This window comes from Homo sapiens, chromosome 3 (assembly GCF_000001405.40).
Source record: "Homo sapiens chromosome 3, GRCh38.p14 Primary Assembly".
Lineage (NCBI taxonomy): Eukaryota > Metazoa > Chordata > Mammalia > Primates > Hominidae > Homo > Homo sapiens.
Genome location: NC_000003.12, coordinates 180896690 through 180912601, shown reverse-complemented (window position 1 = coordinate 180912601; position 15912 = coordinate 180896690). Strand labels below are relative to the sequence as shown.

General features: G+C 43.3%; 3 annotated features.

Moving 5' to 3' along the window:
* Positions 7-301: a silencer, noted in NCBI's record as "tiled region #7910; HepG2 Repressive DNase unmatched - State 1:Tss, and K562 Repressive DNase unmatched - State 1:Tss". NCBI's record gives its function as "represses a minimal TATA promoter and a strong SV40 promoter by Sharpr-MPRA in HepG2 and K562 cells {active_cell/tissue: HepG2 | K562}" and the evidence as "EXISTENCE:reporter gene assay evidence [ECO:0000049][PMID:27701403]".
* Positions 286-941: an enhancer, noted in NCBI's record as "H3K27ac hESC enhancer chr3:180629449-180630104 (GRCh37/hg19 assembly coordinates)". NCBI's record gives its function as "activates a minimal SCP1, AML or CMV promoter by ChIP-STARR-seq in naive H9 embryonic stem cells {active_cell/tissue: H9 hESC(naive)}" and the evidence as "EXISTENCE:reporter gene assay evidence [ECO:0000049][PMID:30033119]".
* Positions 321-470: an enhancer, noted in NCBI's record as "active region_20878". NCBI's record gives its function as "activates an Ori minimal core promoter by ATAC-STARR-seq in GM12878 lymphoblastoid cells {active_cell/tissue: GM12878}" and the evidence as "EXISTENCE:reporter gene assay evidence [ECO:0000049][PMID:35858748]".

The window sequence follows — 15912 nt, the reverse complement described above, 5'->3', positions numbered from 1 at the left end:
GGGAAAGGGGAGGGGAAAACAGGGCTGGGATTGGGATCCCCCGCCCTTCACCCCTGGGGTCTCAACGTGCCGCCCCGACTCTCCAGGTGGGATCCCTGCGCACCCTGCATCACCGGCTTTGGGCTCCGCCTGCCGCCGTCTACGTCGGATTTGCCTCCAGACACAATCGCCCGACCTTTGTTGACCCGCCCCTAGGTCTCCGCCCCACAGTGCCCGCAGTTCGCACCGCGGCGGCCGAGTAGTGCCTCCAGCTGCCACAGAATGAACTGCCCAGGCACAGCCTGCCCGGCGCATCGGCATTCCCCTGAGCTCCGGCATCCTGACCTTAAACTTCTGGAAGTGCTGGCTGCCCTGGAATGGCTTTCTCACCCACTTTTTGGGCTCCAGTTGCCCTGGGGAAGAGGGATGCCTACAAAATAGACATACTGTTGTGCCCCAAGTTATTTCGCCCCGCTCTTTTTTTAAAAAAAGTTGGGCCTTCTCTTCACTCAAATTCCACAGTTCCACACCCCCTCAAACAATTTGGCCTAGCCCTCTCCCCACCTGTTACCACTTTAGCTCTTTAAAAGTCAAACTGAGTATTTTCAGGGCAAGTAATTGTGTTCACACCCTAGAACAGAGTTTAGGTGAATTCGCCTTATTAAAAGTAGTCAGACAAACTTAATAGAGCAGGAGACCACGTTTTCCTCTGTTAAATGCATGCAAATTTCCGCAAATAGGATCAAAGCAGAACCATCTCCAGTTTTGTAAGCATAACAAATACTTTGGGTATGGATTTTAACAACTTAATACTGAAGCTCCTTCCCTAAGCAAGGGCTTTGGAAAATAATACTATAAGTGCTCCTTGTTATACTTACATTATTACCGTTTTCGCAGAAAAACTTAAGAAAGGATACTTTGCTAACATTCTATACTTCCCATGAAACGCCCACTGACCCAGTTTTTCAGATTCTAAAAAAATAAAATGTACACAACATTTTATGAGCACGTCTGCATCTCTGAAGATTCTGGGAAAAAATGAGGGCTGTGAAAGTGCTCACTGTTGTTATGTACAGGATATTCTATTTATTTATTTATTTAGAGACAGGGTCTCACTCTGTTACCCAAGATGGAGTGCAGTGGCGTGATTACGTGGCAGCCTGGACTTCCCAGGCTCAGGTGATGCTGCCACCTCAGCCTCCCGAGTAGCTAGGACTACAATATTTATTTTATTTTATTTTATTTTATTTATTATTATTTTTTTAGACAATCTCGCTCTATCGCCCAGGCTGGAGTGCAGTGATGAGATCTCAGCTCACTGCAACCTCCGCCTGCTGGTTCAAGTGATTCTCCTGCCTCAGCCTCCGGAGTAGTTGGGATTACAGGCGCGCACCACCACACCCAGATAATCTTTTTGTGTTTTTAGTAGAGATGGGGTTTCACCATGTTGGCCAGGCTGGTCTGGAACTCCTGACCTCATGATCTGCCTGCCTCGGGATTGCAGGCATGAGCCACCGTGCCCAGCCTATGTATTCACTCCCGGCCTATTTTTTTTTTTTTTTTTAAGACAGGATCTCTATCGCCAAGGCTGAAGTGCAGTGGCACAATCATAGCTCACTGTAACCTTGAACTCTTGGCCATCCCACACTGGGCTGGGATGTTCTTTTTAAAGTGTTGATCATCATGAGAAAAATGTAAACAACTAAATGCCCATCAATGAGTAATAGCCACCATTTATTAAGGGCACCTTATGCTAACACTCTATATTGTATCTCATTGTGATCCTTCAGAATTATAATGTCCCATTTGCTTTCTTAAAAAGTTTTCTTTAGATATAATTCTCCCATTTATAATGTACAATTCAGTAGTTTTTAGTATATTCACAGATTTGTGCAACCATCACCACAGTCAATTTTAGAACATTTTCATCACTGCAAAAATAACCCCATACCTGTTAGCGTTCACTCTAGATTTAACCCCAGCTCCCCAGGCCCTAGGAAATCACTATCCTGTTTTCTACCTATATAGATTGGCCTAGTCTAGATATTTAATATAAATGAAATCGCGGAATATGTGTTGTTTTATGACTGGCTTTCTTTTTTCTTTTTCCTTTTTTTTTTTTTTTGAGACAGAGTCTCACTCTGTTGCCCAGGCTGGAGTGCAGTGGCTTGATCTCCACTCACCACAACCTCCACCTCCTGGACTAAAGTGATTCTCCCGCCTCAACCCCCTGCCCCACAAGTAGCTGGGAGTACAGACACCACCCACCACGCCCGCCTAGCCTAATCTTTGTATTTTTTGTAGAGATGGGGTTTCACCATGTTGCCCAGGCTGGTCTCGAACTCCTAAGCTCAAGTTATCCACTGCCTCCGCCTCAGCCTCCCAGAGTGCTAGGATTACAAATGTAAGCCACTGCACCTGGCCTATGATTGGCTTCTTTCATTTAGTATAATGTATTATAGTTTCATCCATGTTGTAGAATGTATTACTACTCATTCCTTTTTGTCAAATATACTGTTGTATGGATATACCACATCATTTTATTTATTAATTCATCAATTGATAGAAGTTTGCTTTGTTTCTACTTTTTGGCTGTTAGGAATAATGCTGCTATGAAAATTGCTGTATATGTTTTGGTATAGACAGATGTATGTTTTTGTTTCTCTTGGGTATATAGCTAGAAATGGAATTGCTGACTCGTGATAACTCCATGTTTAAACCTTTTGAGGAATTGCCAGACTTTTCCAAAGTGGCTGCATTATTTGCATTCCCACCAACAGTGTATGAGGGTCCCAGTGTGCTTTTCTTTATGGGTTCCCCTCTCCTTTCCTGTCCTCCCCTCCCCTCCCTTCTCTTCCTTTTCTCTTCTCTCTTCTCTCCTCTCTCTCTCTCTGTTTTGGCTTTCAGTGTATTTTTTGTTTGTTCTCAATGTGAGTGATTTTGAGTATGGATGCGAAAGTTCCACTTGGGCACAGGCCAAAGCATCTCATACTGCCTGAACTCTAAAGAATAAGTATTGTCCCTCTTCAGGCCTTGCATAGCGAAAACATTTGAATTTGGAACCCAGCCAACACTTTACTACTTCTTCTAGGTAGACTTCGTGATTTCAATTAAGCAACTGAGCCCTATAGCAACCAGTAACACATGTAAGATCAGACAAGCTGTAAGTGTCAGAACTACGATTTGAGCCCTCTTACTTTCCATTTCCAGTGCCACATCAATGACTGTTTGCAGCCTCCATATAATATTCAAAATGGGACATTACACAAACTTTAAAATTTTGATGTAGATCTATTTTCATCATCATAAAAAGATGTTCACTTTAAAGAATGTCACAAAACACCATACATAATCATATTAAAATATATATGCAGTGTGTATATACATATATAAAGTCTGAAAGTTAATATTTCCATATATTATTAGAGGATATTTCCAGAAGATGGGCTAATGATTTACGTAAACTATATAATGTCTATATTTTTTGCCTCATCTGAATTTTTCACAATGAGCATGTTACCTGATCAAAAAAAAAAAAGTTCTTTTTGGCTGGGCACAGTGGCTCATACCTTTAATTCCAGCACTTTGGAAGGTCAAGGCAGGGGGATCACTTGAGGCCAGGAGTTTAAAGCCAGGCTGGGCAACATAATGAGAGCTCGTCTCTACAAAAGCGACAAAAGTTAGCAGGGCGTGGTGGTGTGCACCTGTAGTCCAGGCTACTCAGGAGGCTGAGGCAGGAGGATTGCTTGAGCCTGGAGGTCGAGGCTGCAGTGAGCTGTGTTTGCACCACTGCATTCCAGCCAGGGCAACAGAGCAATACACTGTCTCAAAAAAAAAAAGATATTTTCATTTTTAAATACTATACCATGGAATCTTCTACAGCCACTAGCAATGAAATTATAGAAGACTATCTACTGATATGAGAAGATGTCTATAACTGTAAAAAGCAGCTTATATATGCAACCAATTTTGTACAGGATACATATATGTATATTGCATGAAAATGTATTACAAAGACTTTACCAAAATGCTAACAGTGGTTCTCTTAGGGTAGTGGCATCATGAATGTTTATTTCTCTGTCTCTCTTTCTGTGTGTGTGCGTGTGTGTGTGTGTGTGTGTGTGTGTGTGTGTGTGTATGTATGTTTAAATAGGGATTGGGGTCTCGCTGTGTTAACCAGGCCAACCCTGGACTCCTGGGCTCAAGCAATCCTCCTGCCTGGGCCTCCTAATGTCCTGGGATTAGAGGCATAAGCTACCATGCCCTGCCTTCTTTGTGAGTTTCTATATTTTCCAAGTTTTCTGTATTGAAAAGCAGTACTATTTCTTTTTCCTTTTTTTTTTTTTGAGACAGAGTCTCACTTTGTTGCTCAGGCTGGAGTGCAGTGGCCCGATCTTGGCTCACTGCAGCCTCTGCCTCCTGGGTTACATGCTATATTCCTAGCACTTTAGGAGGCCTAGGTGGGCAGATCACTTGAGGTCAGGAGTTCAAGACCAGCCTGGCCAACATGGTGAAACCTCTTCTCTACTAAAAATACAAAAAAATTAGCCAGACGTGGTGGTGGGCGCCTGTAATCCCTGCTACTCAGGAGGCTGAGGCAGGAGAATCACTTGAACCCGGAGGCTGCAGTGAGCCGAGATTGTGCCACGGCACTCCAAAAAGGAAAATACTTTTTTAAAATAAAAGTAAATGCAGATTGAAACCTTGTATACACAGCTACTGGAACACTTATTAAGATTAAGGTTTCGATCAATTTTGTGGCACTATTTTTAGCTTGAATTGTCTTAATGTGATATTGAAACGTGCTATCATTTTAAATCTCCTTAAAGTATTTCACTTGAAATTAATTATTATTATTATTATTTTTAATTTGAGATGGAGTTTCGCTCTTGTCACCCAGGTTGGAGTGCAGTGGCACAATCTTGGCTCACCGCAAACTCTGCCTCCTGGGTTTAAGCGATTCTCCTGCCTCAGCCTCCCGAGTAGCTGGGATTACAGGCATGCGCCACCACGCCCAGCTAATTTCGTACTTTTAGTAGAAACAGGATTTGTCCATGTTGGTCAGGCTGGTCTCGAACTCCTGACCTCAGGTGATCCAACCACTTCGGCCTCTCAAAGTGCTGGGATGACGTGTGAGCCACTGTGCCCAGCCTTGAAATTAATTTTAACTTTTATTTGATTGTTATTATTATTTTTTTTTTTGAGACGGAGTCTCTCTCTGTTGCCAGGATGGAGTGCAGTGGCACAATCTGGGCTCACTGCAATCTCTGACTCACAGGTTCAAGCCATTCTCCTGCCTCAGCCTCCTGAGTAGCTGGGATTACAGGTGCGAGCCACCACACCCAGCTAATTTTTGTACTTTTAGTAGAGACGAAGTTTAACCATGTTGGCCAGGATGGTCTCGATCTCCTGACCTCATGATCTGCCTGCCTCGGCCTCCCAAAGTTCTGGGATTACAGGCGTAAGCCACCGTGCCCGGCCAATTTTAACTTTTCTAAATTGAGACGATAATTATCCTTTCTCAAGAAACAAAAAATTAGGAAATATAAAATAACTTTTAATTTCTCAACCAACAGTTTCTAGAACTAATTGTGCCTGATTTTATAAATATTGAAAATATCGTCCGGGCCCGGTGGCTCACACCTGTAATCCCAGCACTTTGGGAGGCCAAGGCAGGTGGATCATCTGAGGTCAGGAGTTCGAGACCAGCCTGACCAACATGGAGAAACCCCGTCTCTGCTAATAATACAAAAATTAGCCGGGCATGGTGGCACATACCTGTAATCCCAGCTACTCGAGAGGCTGAGGCTTGAGAATCACTTGAACCCGTGAGGCAGAGGTGGCGGTGAGCCGAGATCACGCTATTACACTCCAGCCTGGGCAATGACAGCAAAACTCTGTCTCAAGGAAAAAAAAATTTCAGGCTTGGCATGGTGGCTTACCCCTGTAATCCCAGCTCTTCAGGAGGATCGCTTGAGTTGAGGCCAGAAGTTTGAGACCAGCTTGGGCAACAGAGTGAGACCCCCTCATCTCTACAGAAAAAAAATTTTTAATTAGCTAGGTGTGGTGGTGGTGATGGTGGGGTGTGTGTGTGTGTGTGTGTGTGTGTGTAGAATTATACATATGTATATATTTATATATATAAAATCTATGATGTATATATGCTATTGTGCATACATTATATATTTATTTATTTTAGAAAATTAAAAAGAGCTTCTGGAAATTAACAGTATGTCAGCAAAAGCAAAAAACTCAATAAAGGAGTTGAAAGATAAAGTTGAGAAAATGTTCTAGAAAATGGAGCAAAGAGATTAACATATGGACACTAGAAAATATAAGAAAATAAGAATATCAGTCTAAGTGATACAATTTCCAAATAGTAAGCATTCTAAAAAGAGAGAATGGAGAAAAAGGAGGAGGAAAAATTGTACATGAAATAATTCAGGAAATTTCCCAGAGAAGGACACGTAGTGCCACATTGAAAGACCCCATCTAGTGCCCCACACATAAACACACCCACACCAAAGCACATCAAGAAATTCAAGGATGCCTGAGAAGAAAATAAGATATTACAAGCTTCTAGAAATAAAAGAATGTTCCCATACAAAAGATGGAGGATTGAAATCACTTTAGACTTTTAAATAGCAACAATGGAAATAAGATACTTGAGCAATGCCTTCCAAAATTCTGAAGGAATATTATTTTAAAATTAGAATTTTATAGCCAGCCAAACTATCATCAGCTGTAACAGTAAAATGAAAATACTTTAAGGCTGGGTGCCGTGGCTCACACCTGTAATCCCAGCACTTTGGGAGGCCAAGGCAGACAGATCACTAGAGCTCAGGAATTCAAGACCAGCCTGGCCAACATGGCAAAAACCCTTCTCTAATTAAAATAAGGCTGGGCGTGGCAGCTCATGACTGTAATCTCAGCACTTCTGGAGGCTGAGGCAGGCAGATCACGAGGTCAAGAGATGGAGACCATCCTGGCCAACATGGTGAAACCCCATCTTTAGTAAAAATACAAAAATTATCTGGGCGTGGTGTTGTGTGCCTGTAGCCCCCGCTACTCAGGAGTCTGAGGCAGGAGAATCGCTTGAACCCAGGAGGTAAAGGGTGCAGTGAGCCGAGATCATGCCACTGCACTCCAGCCTGGCGACAGAGCGAGACTCTGTCTCAGAAAAAAAAAAAAACGTCTGGTGCGGTGGCTCACTCCTGTAATCCCAGCACTTTGGGAAGCCCAGGCGGGTGGATCACGAGATCAGGAGTTTGAGACCAGCCTGGCCAACATGGTGAAACCCTGTCTCTACTAAAAATACAAAAATTAGCCAGACACGGTGGCATGCGCCTGTAATCCCAGCTACTTGGGAGCCTGAGGCAGGAGAATCGCTTGAACCTGGGAGATGGAGGGTGCAGTGAGCCGAGACTGTGCCACTGCACTCAAGCCTGGGCGTCAGAGTGAGACTCCGTCTCAAAAAAAAAAAAAAGAAAAAAAAAATTAGCTGGGCATGGTGGCACATGCCTGTAATTCCAGCTACTCAGGAGGCTGAGGCACGAGAATCACTTGAACCCAGGAGGTGGAGGTTGCAGTGAGCCGAGATCACACTACTGCACTCCAGTCTGATCAACACAGAAGACTCTGTCTCAAAAAAAAAAAAAAAAGAAAAGAAGACATTAAAAAATGTAAAAAATTTACTTACTCAACTTTTTTTCTGAGGAAGCAGCTGAAGATTATGGTTATTCCAAAGGAAAAAAAGAAAGTTGAGTGGTCAACAAAGGATTCTAACACAGAGGAGAGGTGAAAAGTGAATCCCCAGATGTTGATGAAGGAAGATGTCAGCATAACAGTTGTATTAGGAGCGTAACCGTCTAGTCAATGGTGTCCAACAGAAAAAAAAAAAAGGAAAGAAAAAATAGTTTAACCAGCACTTGCACCCAGAAATGGCTATCTGAAAAACTAAAAAAAATATATTTTTTAAAAAGCGTGTAATAACATCAACACAAAAGAGTGTAACCAGCCCAGTTTTTTGTTGTTGTTCTTTTGTTTTTTGTTTTAAAAATAACCTAGACTGGAGTCCAGTGGAGCAATCTTGGCTCACTTCAACCTCTGCCTCCTGATTCAAGGGATTCTCCTGCCTCAGCTCCTGACCTCAGGTGATCTGCCCGCCTGCCTCGGCCTTCCAAAGTGCTGAGATTACAGGCATGAACCACCGCACCTAGCCTCCAGCCCAGTTTTTAGGAAGTAAAAACATCTTTGAGAGAGACTTTTTCAGGATTAATCTGATAGAATGCTTCCTGTGAATGAACTTCTTGAGCAGATATTTAGATGGTTAATGGACTGTTGGGACTGAATTATGACTAGGTAGTTAGAACATTAAGCAAGTTTTAAAAAGATAATTAACAACATTAGGAAGAAATAAAGTCATTCCAGAAAAGTAGTCCTCATTTATCTCATGGCTCAGCTCTGAATGTATAAATATTATGAAAATACATATAAAATTGATCCAACTGAATTCCAACATGAGTAAGTTGAAGAAAGAGCAGTGGTACTTGTGCATGTGTAATGTGGGAAATAAAGGGAAGAGAGCTGAGGTCTCATCTTCCACAATGCCCATAATATATGGGCAATAGATAAATGACCACGTATTTTTTAGAGATATGGAAGACACCAAATAATAAGCTAAAAAGTTAAACGCAGTTGTCTCTGGGAAAAGGAAAATAATTTTGGAGAGTAGTGAGACATTGAAGTTTTTCTAAAATTTTTTGAGAACTAATTGATTCTCCCTCCCTCCATCCCTCCCTCCCTCCTTTCCTTCCTTCCTTCCTTTCTCTCTCTCTCTCTGTTCTCTCTGTCTCTCTTTCTTTTTTCTTTCTTTCTTGACGGAGTCTCACTCTGTCACCCAGACTGCTCACTACAACCTCCACCTCTTGGGTGCAAGTCATTCTCCTGCCTCAGCCTCCCAAGTAGCTGGGATTACATGTGCCTGCCACCATGCCTAGCTAAATTTTGTATTTTTAATAGAGATGGGGGTTCACCATGTTGGCCAGACTGGTCTTGAACTCCTGACCTCAAGTGATCTGCCTGCCTTGGCCTCCCAAAGTCCTGGGATTATAGGCTTAAGCCACTGCGCCTGGCCCTTTTTCCTTTTTTTGAGATGGAGTCTCGCTCTTGTCGCCCAGGCTGGAGTATAGTGGCGCAATCTCGGTTCACTGTAACCTCCGCCTCCCAGGTTCAAGCGATTCTCCTGCCTCAGCCTCCTGAGTAGCTGGGATTACAGGCTGTCCTGCCCCAGCCTCCTGGGATTACAGGCGCCCACCACCAAGCCAGCTAATTTTGTACTTTTAGTAGAGATGGGGTTTCACCACATTGGTCAGGCTGGTCTCGAACTCCTGACTTCAGGTGATTCACCCACCTCGGCCTCCCAAAGTGCTGGGATTACAGGCATGAGCCAATGTACCTGGCCCCTTTCCTTCTTTTTAACCGCTCCTTTTGGAGCAGGGCTACCCCACAGGCAGTGTGCCCAAAGCAGCCTGATTCTTTAAATAGGTAGAATTTTTGACAAAGATCAAAGCTAAAAAGAAGAAATACAATTTTCTTCAGAAGAAAGAGTATCCTTTCTGCTCTGTAGACAATCCAGGACTGAGATGCATTAATGCAGAACTGAGGGTCTGAGGTCTGGTAGCACCAGTAGTGACCGAGAAAAATAGAATGTTCTGAAAGTCAATAGACAAGACATGGTTCTTAACTTTAGGATCATATTTCAGGCCTATGCTATCATGCCATTTTTCAACTCTTAAGCTGCTTTCCTTTACTATGCTTTTTAGGCAACTCTTACAATGTAACTCTTATGCTCATTCCACCTTAATTAAATTGCTAATAGTGCTGAGATATTGTGATGTTGCGGTTAAGGGCATGAACTTTAGAATTAGAATCCTTTATTTGCTATATGGTCTTTAGTGAGTTGGTTAACATCTCTGAGCTTTACTTCTCTCTTTTTAAAATGTAGAATAATGTTTACCTCAATGGGCTAATAAGATCAAGTGAAGAAATATATGTAAAGGTGCTGACTACACAGTGTCTGGCATGTAATAAGCACTTAAATTATTATTATTAAACTCTAGAAGTCTATTACTGCTAGATTCAGTATTTTAAGTGCAAGACTCATTTATCTGAAATCATTATAAATACTTAGTGATTTTTTTTTTTTTTTGAGACAGAGTTTCACTCTTGTTGCCCAAGCTGGAGTGCAATGGTGCGATCTTGGCTCACTGCAATCTCTGCCTCCCGGGTTCAAGCGATTCTCCTGCCTCAGCCTCCCGAGTAGCTGGGATTACAGGTGTGTGCCACCACGTCTGGCTAATTTTTTGTATTTTTAGTAGAAATGGGGTTTCACCATGTTATCCAGGCTGGTCTTGAACTCCTGACCTCAGATGATCCGCCCACCTTGGCCTCCCAAAGTGCTGGGATTACAGGCGTGAGCCACCTCGCACAGCCTTACTTAGTGTTTTGTTTGTTTGTTTGTTTGTTTTTTAAACGAGTCTCATTCTGTCGTCCAGGCTGGAGTGCAGTGGCACAATCTCGGCTCACTGCAAGCTCCGCCTCCTGGGCTCATGCCATTCTCCCGCCTCAGCCTCCTGAATAGCTGGGACTACAGGCGCATGCCACCACGCCCAGCTAATTTTTTTGTATTTTTAATAGAGACGGCTAATCCCGATTCATTATTGGATCATGAAATCAATTCAGTGGATATTATCAACATTTTAAAAGTTGAAATAAAATACTAATGAATAGACCAGAGAACTTTCCACTAATAAAGGCTTACTTAAATGTTTGAGAAACATTGGCCTAGTGCTGTTTGAAGCTAATGGTGGTCCCCTCCTTTTAAATAAGAGCACAGTAACATTGATTTAAAGAAAAAAAAACTTAAAAATAAATAAATGCACTTAAGGTAACAGTTATGGAAGATTAAAAATAATAAAATGCACAATTATGGAAAGAGAAAATAAAATGAACAGTTATAGAAGGATAAAGATGATTAAAAATGATTAATTGCGTATGTTTTTCTTTTTTTGTTTGTTTGTTTTTTTGTGATGGAGTCTCTCTCTGTTGCCCAGGCTGGAGTGCAGTGGCGCAGTCTTGGCTTACTGCAACCTCCCGGGTTCAAGCGATTCTCCTGCCTCAGTCTCCCAAGTAGCTAGAATTATAGGCACCTGCCACCATGCCCAGCTAATTTTTTGTATTTTTGGTAGAGATAGGGTTTCACCATGTTGGCTAAGCTGGTCTTGAACTCCTGACCCCGTGATCCCCCTGACTTGGCCTCCCAAAGTGCTGGGATTACAGGCATGTGCCACTGCACCTGGCCTTGGGTATGTTTTTCAAAGTCTTCACTACAGTAATAAGTTATCATATTCATAAAAGTCTAAGGTCAAGTCTATGTTTACAATAAAATAACTCCTAGTTTCCAATGCTTTCAAGACCACCAAAATCAAAAAAAGTACTTTTTGAAGTCCATGGCATCCTAGCTCATATTTTACGCCTATGAATAAAATTCTGAAGTCATATCTTTTTAGTTCATTAGAAATTCTAAAGTCTTACCTTTTTAGTTCATTAAAAATGTCTTTGATAAAACATTTTATATTTTTAAAGAAGGAGACGTATACCCATCATTCAGACTTTAGTTTTTAAACGCAGTTCCCGAATAATAGGAACCAGGGCTTCCAGGAGAAATGGCTGATTCCATGTCAGGGGAAGGAGAGTATGAGATGAACCTAGTACATGCTGCTGTGCCACAATATACGTATAGCTCAAATACTGATGGACCGTGTTATAAGAACCCACCAGCCAGTTTGGAGACGTTCCCACTGGCTAAATCTGATAAACTGGGTTTCTTGTTTGTTTCTGAGACAGAGTCTCGCTAAGTTGCCTGGGCTAGAGTGCAGTCACTGCAACCTCCGCCTCCCAGGTTCAAGTGATTCTCCTGCCTCAGCCTCCTGAGAGTCGGGATTAGAAGCCCGTGCCACCACGCCTGGCTGATTTTTGTATTTTTAGTGGAGACAGGGTTTTGCCATGTTTTCCAGGGTAGTCTTGAACTCCTGAGCTCAGGTGATCCGCCTGCCTTGGCCTCCCAAAGTGCTGGTGTTGTAGGACTTTTCCTTAGTTCAGCTAAAGATGGGGTCCTTGTCTGTCCCACAGCTGCAAAAATTTAGGCTCACAGATGGTTTGAAGGGTGAGTAAAGCAGGGTTTTATTGGATGAAAAGGAAGAAAAGGGGGAAACAGGGACTCTCGCTAGGTCAGAGTCCCCGTCAGAGCACTTCCCACACGCTATTCGAATCCCACTTTCCACACAGGAAGAGGAGGGGCCAGTCTCCTCCCTGCTGCAAAGTGAACTTCCCAAGTCTCCATGTCAGTGGGCAGACTGGCTGGAGTTTCTCTGAGGACCCCCTCCCACCTGGCTGTCTCATTCCCCTCTCTAAAGAAGTACATCTGGCCGAGTGCGGTGACTCACGCCTGTAATCCCAGCACTTTGGGAGGCTGAGGCGGGCAGATCACCTGAGGTCAGGAGTTCAAGACCAGGCTGACCAACATGGAGAAAGCCTGTCTCTACTAAAAATACAAAATTAGCTGGGCATGGTGGCACATGCCTGTAATCCCAGCTATTCAGGTGGCTGAGGCAGGAGAATCACTTGAACCCGGGAGGTGGAGGTTGCAGTGAGCTAAGACCATGCAATGAATTGCACTCCAGTCTGGGCAACAAGAGCGAAACTCCATCTCAAAAAAAAAAAAAAAAAAAGGTACATCTAACTGCTCTTAGATTAAGGATAAGGACGAAGACCAATCTTAACTGCTCCCTGCTGACAGGGGGTGCTGTTTTGGGGGAAATAGCAGTCAGAGCTCCCTCAGAGGCCTATTTAAGGGTTCCTGGCAGAAGAGGCCATTGTCAGAAGCTCCAGTTGCATGACTGTTTGGAATTTGATGGCCTGAAGGCAAGAACAGACAAACCAGGTTATTAGAAAACATGTATCGAAACGAAACAAGGGTAGGGGTAAGGACAGCTCAAAAATCCTTAGGCCTTTTACCAGTTTGCACAGGGAGAGGGAGGCCAAAAGCCCAACTGGAAAAAAAAATTTACCCTTTTGCTGGCATGTTGGGCTTCTGGGTTCCCTTCCCCTAAGTCCAATCCTAAGACAACCAGTTTAAAGCTTGGCAAATTAACTCTTTCAGGTTGGAGGATGCATCTCAGGGGAGTGTAGTACGAAAACACAATTACCTATTAGTGAAGAGAGAACAGAGGAGGAGAAAGGAAAAAGAAGGCATTTTTAAAGGAGTCCCAGAGGTTCAGTATGCATTTGAATGGGGTACAGACTGAAGATGAATGGCTACCCATCTAGAAAGAGGGAAGCAGGTTTCCCTGGTTCCCTTCTCTTCCTAGCAGATACCCAGGGTATGTGAGGAGCATCTTATTTCCATCTTCCGTCCTTGCATCCCCGAGTCCCTGCGACCTTGGCAGGTGCCGCCATGGGTGTCAAAGCGACTTCCACCCATGAAGCAGGGGGCATCTAGGGGGCAAGAATCATCTGCTGTTATCCACATATACCCTGTCTCCCCTGCTGTCAGTAGCCTTGGAGTTGCCTAGACCTAATTTACATCATGGATATTAACATGGCCTTTATCCATGAAATAGGAAGCTTGGACTTGGCTTAATCGGCAGGAATCAGCCACGCTCACCTGCGCTGTGCCTTTTAACCTCTGTTGTCATCTGCCTCTGGATCCCTTAGATCCAGTTTTCTTTCCCACGGCTTTGACTTGAAGCTTGAAGTTGAGTCTGGGACAAAAATGTGTCACGAGGGGGCGGTGCATAGACTCCTTATCATAAGCCGAACGCTAAGGTGAAACTGTGGAATTGAAGTCCTCCTCCAACAAGGGAGAGAAAAGGATGTCTTGTGACACACCCAGATAACTGGTAGCTATAGTTATGCTTGTTAGGATTTGGGTGCATGGTTCCTGGCTTTTGTTAGCTCCCTTGGTTTTACTTTCCCAAAAAGGAAACCTCCAAGTGATGGACATCCTGTTTATCCCCATCACGATCTGGCAGGATTTGTAGGATAATTGCCCAGAACCAGAATATTGATCTGGATTTCTACATTACCATCCCTCTTGTCTTTTCTGAGTTAGAGCTAGAGATTGCTGGTTGGTTCACAGGAACAAGCAGGGCTAGTCTAACATGTAGGCAAAAACTTAAAAACAGCTAGTGAGTTTAGAATTTAGTGACAAATGTATGATAAGTTTGGGAACATAATTTCTCTCTCTCCAGTCCTCATTTTTGTTAAAAATAAAAAAAATTACGATAGGACTGAATGGTTTGCAAAATAGATTTTAATAATTTTTTTTTTTTTTTGAGATGGAGTCTTGCTTTGTCGCCCAGCCTGGAGTGCAGTGGCGCAATCTCAGCTCACTGCAACCTCCGCCTGCCAGGTTCAAACAATTCTCCTGCCTCAGCCTCCCAAGTGGCGGGGACTACAGGTGTGTGCCACCATGCCTGACTAGTTTTTTTTTTTGTATTTTTAGTAGAGACGGGGTTTCACCATGCTGGCCAGGCTGGTCTCGAACTCCTGACCTCCTGATCGGCCTGCCTCGGCCTCCCAAAGCACTGGGGTTACAGGCGTGAGCCACCGTGCCTGGCCCAATATATTTTAATCTTATACTTGGCCTGATTATTTGCATAAAGTGCAGCAAGAATAATTACTTCTACATAGGCCTTTTGGATTGGCTTTGATGGAACTCTGTTCCCCAACGGATCTAAGATAAGACATTTTAAAGCTGAGCCCAACCATGGGTTTGTATCCTCAAACACCTGTGAGTTGGGTGATTCTCTCCTCTTAAGGTCTCAAGATAAACTTGGAGTTTCTAGACCTGTTAGAAAGTGACATTCTTTACTGACCACAGGTCAGGAATCCTGTACAGGGACTGTGTAGGCAAGGGTATGAGGCCAGTTTCCCCACTGGGCTTTTATTGGCTCTGCAAGTTGAGATTGACTCCTTAAAGGAAAGCATGTCCTTCCAGTGGTAAAATAACCAGTTTCTCCAATTGGGTTCTTTTGCAAAAGAAAATGGATTCTTAGTGCACTGATTCTTAGTGCACTATATTGCCATATGAATGCTCACAGATAGTTTCCAAATTTTAGAGGAACCAGGTAGAGAAAAACAAACATACTCCAAATTTTGTTCATAGGAGCATACTTTACTCAATTATTAAAGGCCTTAAATAGTTCAGAATGGCTTGGGTGCAGTGGTTCACTCCTGTAATCCCAGCACTTTGGGAGGCCAAGGTGGGCAGATCACCTGAGGTCAGGAGTTCAAGACCAGCCTGACCAACATGGTGAAACCTCGTCTCTACTAAAAATACAAAAAATCAGCAAGGCATGGTGGTGAGTACCTGTAATCCCAGCTACTTAGGAGGCTGAGGCAGGAGAATCATTTGAACCCAGGAAGCGGAGGTTGCAGTGAGCCGAGATAGCGCCATTGCACTCCAGCCTGGCTGACAAGAGCAAAACTCCATCTCAAAAAAAAAAAAAGTTTCCTTGACTCTGAAAAACAAAACAAGGATCAGCAATATTCCAAGCAAATTTCAAAAAGGTTGCTTCAGCTGAGTTCTGTCCATTTAGTTAACTCTTGTTTTGCTTGATATTCACGAGCATTTCAGCTTTATGAGTCCTGTACATTTTCCTTTATTCCAATGTTACAATCTCTAAAGTTATGAGAAGCCTATATTTGCGAGCACCTGTTAAAGTTCTATAGCTCATCACAGCCGGGCGTGGTGGCTCATGCCTGTAATCCTAACACTTTGGGAGGCCGAGGCAGACAAATTACCTGAGGTTGGGAGTTCAAGACCAGCCTGGCCAACATGGTGAAACCCTGTCTCTACTAAAAAAAAAA